General features: G+C 37.0%; 1 protein-coding gene across 5 annotated transcripts in view, besides 1 other annotated feature; it reads left to right on the top strand.

Moving 5' to 3' along the window:
* REDIC1 (regulator of DNA class I crossover intermediates 1) overlaps positions 1 to 13176 on the top strand; it is a 282118-nt gene that overhangs the window by 47063 nt on the left and 221879 nt on the right. For 4 of the 5 annotated variants that reach the window (NM_001031748.4, XM_005268806.4, NM_001319247.2 and 1 more), the window contains 3 exons: positions 9366 to 9895; positions 10170 to 10239; positions 11622 to 11682. In NM_001031748.4, coding sequence (NP_001026918.2) covers positions 9366 to 9895; positions 10170 to 10239; positions 11622 to 11682 — 661 coding nt within the window. Of the gene's footprint in view, positions 1 to 9365; positions 9896 to 10169; positions 10240 to 10875; positions 11068 to 11621; positions 11683 to 13176 lie in introns of all 5 variants that reach the window. The other variant, NR_135051.2, reaches the window with a different exon arrangement.
* Positions 2496 to 2686: a silencer, noted in NCBI's record as "fragment chr12:40069543-40069733 (GRCh37/hg19 assembly coordinates)". NCBI's record gives its function as "represses an EF-1alpha promoter that drives an FKBP-Casp9 reporter gene in an ReSE screen in K562 erythroleukemia cells {active_cell/tissue: K562}" and the evidence as "EXISTENCE:reporter gene assay evidence [ECO:0000049][PMID:32094911]".

Genomic DNA, 13176 nt, shown 5'->3' on the forward strand with positions numbered 1-13176 from the left:
TTCTTTGTGGAAAAGTGTCCTATGCCTCTAGTCAGCCATCTTGAAACTATCCTCCAGTTTTTAAATTTTATTAGTTAGTAGAGTCGGTCTGGCCCCTGTTATTTCATTTTAGTCAGATGGAGATCCTGAAATTCATTCTTCAGGAAATTCATTCAGGAGTCAGACTGCTGTTTTCCAAGGCAAAATGTCAGTTTTACTTTTGTGCTCGGAACATTTATTTCAATGATTTCTTATTGCTCTTTTCAAAAGCAAGGCTCTGCATAATCTGGGCCCTTTTGTACTTTATAGCCCTAGGTCATAAGTTTTCTTTCACTGATTCTATTCCAGCTTTACCCCTCTTCTGTTTCTCAAACATGCTGCAAATTTTGCATTTCTACTGATTATGCAGTTTGCCTATTCCTGTTTTCATGTATCTAACCATTCTGTATCTTTAATGTATTTATCACTTCCTTACTCTAGTGACTTTCCTGACCAAACTATCTGAAACACGACCTCCAACACAAGGCATCCCATCATGTGATCTGGTAGTATTTGTAATTATCTTTTATATTTATTTACTTCTCTATTTCTTATCCACTGTATTTGTTAGTGGTTCATTGTCTTTTATTTGTCTATTATCATCCTTCACTAGACTATAACCTCTGTTGTCTCCCTACTACATAGTGGACACATTAAATATTTGTTGAATACACATAAAAGGCTTATTTAGATAATGAATGTTTTTATTAAAATTTTAGTCCATAATTTTTAATGAATTTTATATTTATCTATAGGAAAACATAAATTGTTTAACAAGTTGGACTTACTTGTCTTAATTCTTTTCAGTTTTTTAGGATAATTGCTCTCTGTCATCTCTAGAAGTAAGAATCCTTTCCAACTTTAGTTCCCAAATCAGATGCCATCTGCCTTAATTTTTCTCAAGCAGAAGAATCTCTTCTTTCTTCTGTTTGCTGTTTTAGCATTTGACTGTAGGATAATACCTGTCACTTTGTAATTTTTTTCTTCCTCTTTTATACTGTAAATTTCTTGTTGGCAATAACTACTCTACATTTCTGTATTGTCCACATCTCTTAGAGAGTGATTCCACTGAGTCAGATGCTTAAAATACCTTTTAAAAATCATGATTTTGGAAAATGGCAGGTAAGAGACAGGACTAGTATGCAGCTCCCACTTGGACAGAACAGCAGGTAGAGACTCACATCATGAACTTTTACTCCAAAAAGCACTGCAGAAACATACCAGGAAAACCAAAAGAATTCAAAGACCCTTTGAAAGATGTGGCTTGCTCTGCAAACTCCATGAGACAGCCAAAAAATTCAGTTCCCAAAGTGTGAGGGGGGGATAGCCTGCTTCCAAACACACATCTCCACTGGGGAACCAGAAATCCAGATCATGGGAGAAGGATTTAACCATCCCTAGAGCTGAAATGGAAGTAGGGAGCTAAGCAAAATATAAAAGTGGAAGAAGCAGCTGGAAGAGCCCTGTAGACACTCCTGGTCCCCAGCTTGAGCCCAGGGAAGCCATCCCTGGCCTTCTCTCACAGGGGTCCTTGGGGAAGGTACCCAGTGGAATTGAGGAGGGGCCACAGGGTGAAAGAAGCTTCTGACTGAACTCTGTAATAATTTTGACTAAGCATGAATTTTCATGAGCAGAATCTTGGCGGTGGGGTGCGAATGGGAAATGCAGATATGAGTGCAGAAGCTGCAGCCAACAGTGTGGGTAGACAGGGAGGGGCAAGGCCTGGGAGCCCTGCTTGCTTTCTTAGTGGGGAGGCTCATAGCCTGGGGCAAGATCTCAGCACTGTGTGCCCATTGCCTGGATGTAAACTTGGCACTGTTGGTGGGCATGATGAGAGTGAGACAGGCTTTACTTGCTGTGTGGGAGCTGAGAGAAGCCTATCACCGGAGGCTTTCTCTCAGTGATGAACTGTATGATGCAGCAGAGGTAGCCATAATCCTCTGTGGAACATAACTTCATTGGCCTGAGAACCACCCCCATCCCCCACAGTGGCTGCAGCAAGCACTGCCCAAGGAGGGTCTGAGCACAGACCTTTCTAACTCTGCCCTTACCTGATTTTTTTTTTCCCACTTTGGTAGCCAAAGACAAAAGACATAAACTCTTGGGAACTCTATGGCCCCACCTATTGCTTGAGAAACCTGAAAATTTATCCTGGCCAATGTAGGGCAAACTTGCATACCCCTTCTACTACCACAGGTGGTGCTCTCTTGAAAGTGCCACCTCTGGGCTGGAGGCCAGCCAACTCAGTCCATTATAGCAACTCAGAACAAGCCTGCTCCAAAGAAGGAGAAAACAACAGCTAATTCTACCACGTGCAACATCCTGGCTATCCAGAGGTCCTGAGTCTGTTCATGTGACAACTTCACTGCTAGCATAAGCAGCATTTGAGAAAACCAGTGCATTAAAAACTACAACCAAGGACTCCCACAGAGTCCACATCACTCCCCTGCCACCTCCATTGGAGCAGGTGCTGGTATCCACAGCTGGGAGACCTGAAGATGGATCACCTCATCACATCACAGGACTCTTTGTAGACATTACCCAGCACCAACCTGGAGCCTGATAGCCTCACTGGGGGGCTAGACCCAATCACTGCAGTCTGGCTCATGTGCAGCCCCACCCATAGGGGAACAGGGAGAGCACCACATCAAAGGATCACCCTGTGGGACAAAAGAATCTGAACAGCAGCCCCTGTGTTCCAGATCCTTTCCACTGAGACAGTCCATCCAAATGAGAAGGAACCAGAAAAGTAATTCTGGTACTATGACAAAACAAGTTTCCGTAACACCCCCAAAAGACCACACTAGTTCTCCAGCAATGGATCCAAACCAAGAAGAAATCTCTGAATTGCCAGATAAAGAATTCAGAAGGTTGATTAATATACTACTCAAGGAGGTACTAGAAAAGGGAGAACACCAACTTAAGGAAATAAAAAAAAAAAACCAGATATGGATGAAAAGGTCTTCAGAGAAATAGATGTCATAAAGAAAAGACAATCAAAACTTCTGTAAGTGAAAGATGCACTTAGAGAAATACAAAATACACTGGAAAGTTTCAACAATAGAATCGAACAAGTAGAAGAAAGAACTTGAGTTTGAAGACAAGGCTTTTGAATTAACCCAATCCAGCAAAGACAAAGAAAAACTAATTAATAAAAAATAAATGAACAAAGCCTTCAAGAAATTTGGGATTATGTTAAACAACCAAACATAAGAATAATCAGTGTTCCTGAGTAAGAAGAGAAATCTAAAAGTTTGGAAAACTTATTTGAGGTAATAATCGAGGATAACTTCCCTAGTCTTACTAGAGATCTAGATATTCAAATACAAGAAGCTCAAAGAACACCCAGGAAATTCATCACAAAAAGATGATCACCTAGGTAAATAGTTATCAAGTTATCTAAAGTCAAGACAAAGGAAAGAATTTTAAGAACTGTGAGGCAAAAGCATCAGGTAACCTACAAAGGAAAACCTGTAAGATTAACAAGAGATTTCTCAGCAGAAACCCTACAAGCCAGAAGGAATTGGGATCCTATCTTTAGCCTCCTTAAACAAAATAATATAAGCCAAGGATTTTCTATCCATTGAAACTAAGCTTCATAATGTGAGATAAAGTATTTTTCAGACAAACATGCTGAGAGAATTCACCACTACCAAGCCAGCACTACAAGAAATGCTAAAAGGAGTTCTAAATTTTGAAATACACCAAAATAGAACCTCCTTAAAGCAGAAATCTCACAGGGCTTGTAAAACAATAACACAATGAAAAAAAAAAAAACACCAAGATATCCAGGCAACAACTAACATGATGAATAGAAAAGTACTTCACATGTCAATACTAACATTGAATATAAATGGCCTAAATGCTTCACTTTAGCATTTAGTGTCAGAATGAATAAAAATCCATCCACCAAGTATCCATTGTCTTCAAGAGACTTATGTAACACATAAGAATTCACATAAACTTAAGGGGAAGAGGTGGAAAAAGATATTCCATGCAAACAGAAACCAAAAGCGAGCAGGCGTAGCTATTCTTATATCATACAAAACAGACTTTAAAGCAAAAACAGTTAAAAAAGACAAAGAAGGACATTATATAATGATAAAAGGATTAGAACAACAGGAAAATATCACAATCCTAAATACATATGCACCTAACACAGGAGCTCCCAAATTTATAAAACAATTACCACTAGACCTAAGAAATGAGATAGATGGCAAATAATAGTGGGGGATTTCAGTACCCCACTGACAACATTAGAGAGGTCATCAAGACAGAAAGTCAACAAAGAAACAATAGGCTTAAACTGTACCCTAGAACAAATGCACTTAACAGATATTTACAGAATATTGTACCCCAAAACTGCAGAATATACATTCTTTTCATCAGCACATGGAACATTCTCCAAGATAGACCATATGATAGGCTGCAAAACAAGTCACAATAAATTTAAGAAAACACAAATTATATCAAGTACTCTCTCAGAACACAGTGGGATAAAATTGGAAATCAACTCCAAAAGGAACCCTGAAAACTGTACAAATACATGGAAATTAAATAATCTGCTCCTAAATGATCTTTGGGTCAACAATGAAATCAAGACGGAAATCTAAACATTCTTTGAACTGAACAGTTGTAGTGACAAAACCTATCGAAACCTCTGGAATACAGCAAAAGTGGTGCTAAGAGGAAAGTTAATAGCATTAAATGCCTACATCAAAAAGTCTGGAAGTGCACAAATAGACAATCTAAGGTCACACCTCAAGGAACTAGAGAAACAAGAACAAACCAAGCCCAAACCCAGCAGAAGAAAAGAAATATAAAGATCAGAGCAGAACTAAATGAAATTGAAACAAACAGAAAAAACAATACAAAAGATAAATGAAATGAAAAGCTGGTTCTTTGAAAAGATAAAATTGATGGACCATTAGCAAGATTAACAAAGAATAGAGAAGACCCAAATAAGCTCAATTAGAAACAAAATGGGAGATATTATAACTGATACTACAGAAATACAAACAATTATTCAAGGCTACTGTGAACACCTTTACACATACAAATTAGAAAATCTACAGGAGATTGATAAATTCCTAGAAATATACAACCCTCCTAGATCAAACCAGGAAGAAATAGAAACTCTGAACAGACCAATGACAAGTAGTGAGATTGAAACAGCATTTTTAAAACTTGCCAACAAAAAAAAAGTCCGGGACCAGATGGATTCACGCTGAATTTTATCAGCCATTCAAAGAAGAATTGGTACCAATCCTACTGAAAATTATTCCAAAAGATAAAGAGAGAATCCTCCCTAAATCATTCTGTGAAGCCAGTATCACCCTAATACCAAAACCAGGAAAAGGCATAACAAAAAAAAAAAAAAAAAAAAGGAAACTATAGACCAATATTCCTGATGAATATAGATGCAAAAATCCTCAACAAAATACTAGCTAACTGAATCCAACAGCATATCCAAAAGATAATACATCATGATCAAGTGAGTTTCATACCAGGGATGCAGGGATGGTTTAACACACATAAGTCAATAAATATCATACACTACATAAACAGAATTAAGAATAAGAATTATATGATCATTTCAATAGATGCAGAAAAAGCATTTTACAAAATCTAGTATCACTTTATGATTAAAACCCTCAGCAAAATCAGCATAAAAGGGACATACCTTAAGATAATAAAAGCCATCTATGACACACCCACAGCCAGCATTATACTGAATGGGGGAAAGTTGAAAGCATTCCCCCCAAGAACTGGAACAAGACAAGGATGCCCACTTTCACCACTTCTATTCAACATAGTACTGGAAGTCCTAGCCAGAACAGTCAGACAAGAGTTCACCACTTCTATTGTACGTAGTACTGGAAGTCCTAGCCAGAGCAATCAGACAAGAGAAGGAAATAAAGGGCATCCAAATAGATAAAGAGGAACTCAAACTGTTGCTGTTCACCAATGACATAATAGTATACCTGGAAAACCCTAAGGACTTATCCAAAAAGCTCCTAGATCTGATAAATGGACTCAGTAAAGTTTCAGGGTACAAAATCAATGTACACAATGCAGTAGAACTGCTATACATCAACACTGAATAAGCTGAGAATCAAATCAAGAACTCAACCCCTTTTACAACAGCTGCAAAAAATAAAATACACCTAACCAAGGAGGTGAAAGATATCTACAAGAAAAACTAGAAACACTTCTTAAAGAAATCATAGATGACACAAACAAATGGAAACACATCCTATGATCATGGATGTGTAGAATTAATACTGTAAAAATGACCATACTGCCAAAAGCAATCTATAAATGCAATGCAATTCCCATCAAAATACCAATATCATTCTTCACAGAACTAGAAAAAATATCCTAAAACTCATATGCACCCCAAAAACCCCACAGAGCCAAAGGAAGACTAAGCAAAAAGAACAAATCTGGAGGCATCACATTACCTGACTTCAAACTATACTACAGGGCTATGGTTACCAAAACAGCATGGCACTGGTATAAATATAGGTATGTGGACAGATGGAGCAGAATAGAGAACCCAGAAATAAAGCCAAATACTTAAAGTCAACTGATCTTCGACAAAGCAAACCAAAACATAAAGTGGGGAAAGAATACCCTATTCAACAAATGGTGCTGGGATAGTTGGCAAGCCACATGTAGTATGAAACTGGATCCTCATCTCTCACCTTATATAAAAATCAAGTCAAGATTGATAAAAAACTTTAAGACATGAAGCCATAAAAATTCTAGAAGATAACATCGGAAAAACTCTTCTAGACATTGGCTTAGGCGAAGAATTCATGACCAAGAACCAAAAGCAAATGCAACAAAAACAAAAATAAACAAATGGAACCTAATTAAAATAAAAATCTGCACAGCAAAAGAAATAATCAGCAAAGTAAACAGACAACCCAGAAAGTGGGAGAAAATCTTCCCAAACTATGCATCTGACAAAGGACTAACATCCAGAATCTACAAGGAACTCAAATCAGTAAGAAAAAAACAAGTAATCCCATCAAAAAATGGGCTAAGTATGTGAATAGACAATTTGCAAAAGAAGATAATACAAGTGGTCAACAGATATGAAAAAATGCTCAACATCACTAAAGATGGAGGAAATGCAAATCAAAACCACAATGCAATCACCACCTTACTCCTACAAGAATGGTCATAATTAAAAAATGAAAAAATAATAGATGTTGGCATGGATGTGGTGAAAAGGGAATACTTTTACACTGCTGGTGGGTATGTAAACTAGTACAACCACTATGGAAAACAGTATGGAGACTCCTTAAAGAACTAAAAGTGAACTACCATTTGATCCAGCAATCCCACTGCTGGGTTTCTACCCAGAGGAAAATCAGTCAGTATATGAAAAAGACACTTGCATGTGCATGTTTATAGCAACACAATTCACAACTACAAAAATATGGAACCAGCCTAAATGCCTATCAACCAATGAGTGGGTGAAGAAAATACATACGCACACACACACACACACACTCTCTCACACACTCACACTCCATGGAATTCTACTCAGCCATAAAAAGGAATGAAATTATGGCATTCACAGCAACCTAGATGGAGTTGGAAACTATTATTCTAACTGAAGTAACTCAGGAATGGAAAACCAAACATTGTTACGTTCTTACTTATAAGTGGGAACTAAGCTTTGAGGACACAAAGGCATAAGATTGATATAATGGACCGGGTGTGGTGGCCTACACCTATAATCCCAGCACTTTGGGATGCTGAAGCAGGTGGATCACCTGAAGTCAGGAGTTTGAGACCACCCTGGCCAACATGGTGAAACCCTGTCTCTACTAAAAACACAAAAGTCAGCCGGGTGTGGTGGCACACACCTGTAATCCCAGCTATTCAGGAGCCTGAGGCAGGAGAATTGCCTGAACCCAGGAAGCAGAGGTTGCAGTGGGCCAAGATTGCACTACTGCACTCCAGCCTGAATGAAAAGAGCAAAACTCCATCTCCCACACACACAAAAAAGATTGATATAATGGATTCTGGGGACTCTGGTGGAGGGTGGAGGAGGGATGAGGGATAAAAGACTATACATTGGGTACAGTGTACACTGCTTGGGTAATGGCTGCACCAAAATCTCAGTAACCACCACTAAAGAACTTGTTCATGTAACCAAACATCACCCATTTCCCAAAAACTATTGAAAGAATAATAAAAAAAGATTTACATTTATAGTGTGCTTAATATCTTATAAAGTGCATTTACCTCTATTTTATGTAGAGTAACAGATATTTTCCTCATGTTAATGGTGTATATTAGTGCATACTATATACTGTGTCTTTTGGTATAGCAAAATAACATCATTCTGTCTAAAACACCAATAAGGCCCTCATTGAGAAACAACGTAGGATCATGAGCTGTGAACATTCATGGGTAAAACATTAATCTCTCTCTTTAACAACAAGCTGAGCTCTTTTATCTCTCTATTGCCAATATATGGCCTAGTACCTGGAACAGAGTAGGTGATCATCAAATATTTGATAAATAATTTAAAAATAGTTATTAGAGTTTTAGCAATCTGTGGTTTTTTTTCCTAATTTTTTTGATAACTCCAACCTCTGGAACAACTCACTTCCAAATAAATTTGTAGTCACTGACAATAAAATAAGAAACATCTTGATTTGTAATTATTTTCCACTATATCTTTGATTCTTGTGCACAAATTGGACTTAACCTAGAATTATTTCTGCATTAGAATAGAACTTACAAGTTATCTAACTCATCTAATTAGTTTTTATCTAATTCACCTTATCTCTTGGTTTTATTATGTATATACACATTTGTATTTATATTGCTCTTCCTTGGGAACTTTATAATTGTTTTTATATCCATATTAGGTTGAAAAATATGTTATAATGGTCTCATAACTATTTGATTTTATGTTTTAACACTGGTGATAAATTTTCTCTGCACAGCCTTCAAAACATCTTTCTCTGGTTAAATGGAACAGCAATGACATATAGTGGTTGTCTAGTTTATTCTTTAGATTTTATTATAGAAAATATACTATAGGTTGGTCATGTTTTAATTAAACCTCATGCTAACATTTCATGTTGTAATAAAAAACTGGCCGTAGATTATTTTCTTACTCAATAAGTCATTAGAAGACCACATTAGACAAATTTTCACCCAAAGCAATATTATTTATTTAAATATAAAAAATAAAAACATAGTCTAGGTAAATGTTAGTAGCAACTCAATATGTCCTCTAAGAATTGAAAGTAAGAGTTTCTAAATGCAAATAATCCATGCTTTTCTTGCTAAATATGTTTTTGTTTATCCCAAAGTCTAGGAAATAGGAATTTACTTACTAAAAGCCCTGCTGTAATTATGGATGAAGATTGTAGAAGCACGGATGAAATAAGACAGTCAGACTACATTACTGAAAAACACTCAATACAGCATATTTGGGGGAAAAATGGAAAGGAAGTTTCAAATTTTCTTGAAGATGTGAACCAGTCTACTCCTAACCTTCTATCAGAGAATTGTGACTCTTTTGTTAGTCAAAATATGATCAATGTATTAAACATAGATGAGCAAAGGATAAAGAAAACATTTAACAAGTGTGATTATGATAGTATGGGAGATACTTGTGTAGTCACTAGTTCTGATAAAAACCATGTCACTGACAGATGCATTAGAAACATTTTTACAGTTCCAGAGTTGACTTTTAGTAATTCGACTTTGAATAAAACAAGTTATCCAGAAAAATGTCAGCCAAACAAGAAGTATCAGAGAGAGTATAACAAAAATGAAAGAAATGATCTTAGTACATCTTTTGAGAACGATTACTACCCAAGCAGCTCTGAAAGAAAAGGTTGGTATTGTACATGGAAAATGTAATTACATATTCTTTTTTTCTTTCAGTTTTAGTATATATATTTGTATATTCATACACACACATCTATATATTTGTATGTGTGTTTATGTGTTTGGAGGAAAATGAAACCAAAAATAGAATGGCTTCCTATTATATAACATTGTGGACCAGTGGTTTTCCTCTGTACGTGTCATGTGAATATGCTTTGAATTAAAAAATGAAAATAGACTATGCTAAATTTTTAACTCGGTGCATACTTTTATTTTTTAAGAAAAATTTGAAAATGATTACCAAGAGAAGACACCACAGAAAAGTATTCAGAAATATCCAGCAAACTCTATGTAAGTTTTTAGGTAAATCTGGGGAATACAAATCAGGATCTAGTATGATGCATGATGAATGTTGAATTGATGCAAAGTGAGGTAGGCGTATTGCCATTTGAGGGTGGGCAGGCAACCTGGTCTCAAAGGAGCCTTACCAGGAGTCACAGTGTTGATAATATCACCCCAGTTGAGAGTGTGGTGCTCATATTTGCCAGCTCCCAAATACCTTCTTATCTGAATATTAGTGTTGATTAGATTTGAGGAAATTGATTTAATGTGTTCAAGAAACTCATATCCGCCAGAATGTCAATTTATTAACTTAAAGTAATAAATAGAAAGGGAACATGTATAGGAAGTCTTATTGACATGAAAAAGCATATTTTCTTACTTTCAAACAGCTCTCAGTGGGAAGGTTGCTTGCTTGGTTGGTATAGAATCACTATAGGGAGTGATAGAATTCAGATGTTAGTGGCATAAGCAAGCATATCAGCAGTTTATAGGACAGTGTACATTTTAGGGATAGAGCACTCTTCTCATTGCCAACATTTACCTCTCAGAGACTCCATGTTTTCTCTATGTTCAAGATTACAATCTCCTCTACCCATACATTGAAAACAATTATGTTTCACCAGATTTTTCTTTCTCTTCTTGCAGCTGGTGTACAAAATGTTCTGAGTTTAAGGTGATTTTTACACTCATCCATTATGTGTTGATGTTAAATTTATTCCTTAAAAGTTTGAGAACTGCCTTCCAGGCTTTTCTGAATAATGACCTGCAATTATAAGTAACTAAAGAAAACTTTATTTTAGCTAGTAGTTTCTAGCTAAAATAGTCCTAACTTTCTTGGTAATAGTCCTAACTTTCTTGGTAATAATTACAATTTAGCCAAATCTTTCTGGTTGGAAATCATGAACTAGAATAAATTTTTATTCTGGAAGTGATTTCTTGTGGAATTATTAAAAATATTGATTGATAAAAAGATGCAATTTTAGTGGGATTGGCACTACAAATTAATTAAAACATAGACTTACAAAACATTTCATAAAATTGGCAAATTTGTATTTTTGTTGTTATATCTCCCAATATCTAGAAATTTATGAGTGAAAAAATCATGTTAGGCCTTGAGTTTTAAATGTACCTTATGAAAGCAATTTAGAACATGGTTCCCAATCCTGACTGCAGGTCCAGATTACTTGAGGTAGTGATTTTAAACTATAGAATACCAAGATTGACCCGCACATAATAGGTGGGCTCCTTGGCATGGAGCTTATGAATCTTTATTTTTAAGAAAGCTTCCCATATAATTCTGATCTGAAGCCAAGTTTGGGAACTCTAATTTAGAACAATAATTCCCAGAGGGAACACAACAAACTTTGATACTGTGTATTTATAATCCTTAGGGGAAATATACCTTCGGAAGAATTGCACTCTAAGCAGTCATGGGACTTTGGACTTGATGAGGTAAAGCACAGTCTCACATTATCTTCTCAATTAAGTCAGTTTGTATTACCATATCACATTACTGTATTTAACGTTCACTTTGATTTAAGCTTAACATTTATTCATTAATTTTTATTGGATGGACTCTTTTTCTTATACTTTTTTATTCTGAGGAAATTATAGCTTAGATCTAGAAATAAAAACACGTTTTCAGAGACTGTTAACATGTTTTATTTGAGACAAAATCTTGAGGACATTTTAAACACATTTTTTAAGTATTACAAAACTTCTGTATTAGTTGATTCTTGCATTGCTATAAAGAAATACCTAAGACTGGGTAATTTATAAAGAAAAGAGGTTTGGTTGGCTCATGGTTCTGCAGGCTGTACAGGAAGCATGATGCTGGCATCTGATTGGTTTCGGGCAGGCCTCAGGAAACTTCTAATTATGGCAGAAGGCAAAGGGGGAGCAAGGAGTCTCACATGGCAGGAGCAGGAGCAAGAGAGAGTGAGTAGGGAGGTGCCACAGACTTTTAAATGACCAGATCACAGGAGAACAAACTCACTATCATGAGGACAACACCAAGAGGGATGGTGCTAAACCACTCAGGAGAAACCACTGCCCTGCTATGATCCAGTCACCTCCCACCAAGCCCCACCTCCAACACTCAGGATTATAATTTGACATGAGATTTGGCAGGGACATAGATCCAAACCATATCTTTCCACCCCCAGCCCCCCAAATCTCATGTCCTTCCCATATTGCAAAATACAATCATGCATTTCCAGCAGTTCTCCAAAGTCTTAACTCACTCCAGCATTAACTCAAAAGTTCAAAGTTTCACCTGATACAAGGCAAGTCTCTTCCATCTATGAGCCTGTAAAATCAAAAATAAGGTAGTTACTTCCAAGATTCAATGGCGGTACAAGCATTGGGTAAATATTTACATTCCAAAAGGGAGAAATAGGCCAAAAGAAAGGGGCTACAGGCCCCATGCTAGTCTGAAACCCAACAGGGCAGTCACAAATCTTAAAGCTCCAAAATAATCTCCCTTGACTCTATATCTCACATCCAGACACACTGGTGTAAGAGGTGGATTCCAAAAGCCTTGGGCAGCCCTGCCTCTGTGGTTTTGCAAGGTTCAGCCCCTGTGGCTGCTTTCATGAGCTGGGGCTGAGTGCCTGTGGCTTTTCCAGGAGCTAGGTGCAAGCTGTTGGTGTATCTACCATTCTGGGGTCTGAAGGATGGCGGTCTTCTTCTCATGGCTCCACTAGGCAGTGCCCCATTGGAGACTCTCTGTGGGGGCTCCAATTCCACATTGCCTCTCCACTCTGCCCTAGTAGAGGTTATCCATGATAGTTCCACCTGTGTAACAGACTGCTGCCTGAACATCTAGGCTTTTGCATACATCCTTTGAAATCTAGGTGGAGTCTCTCAAGGCTTAACTTTTACACTCTGTGCACCCACAGGCTTAACACCACATGGAAGCCATCAAGGCTTACAGTTTGCATCCTC

The sequence above is a fragment of the Homo sapiens genome, chromosome 12 (assembly GCF_000001405.40).
Source record: "Homo sapiens chromosome 12, GRCh38.p14 Primary Assembly".
Lineage (NCBI taxonomy): Eukaryota > Metazoa > Chordata > Mammalia > Primates > Hominidae > Homo > Homo sapiens.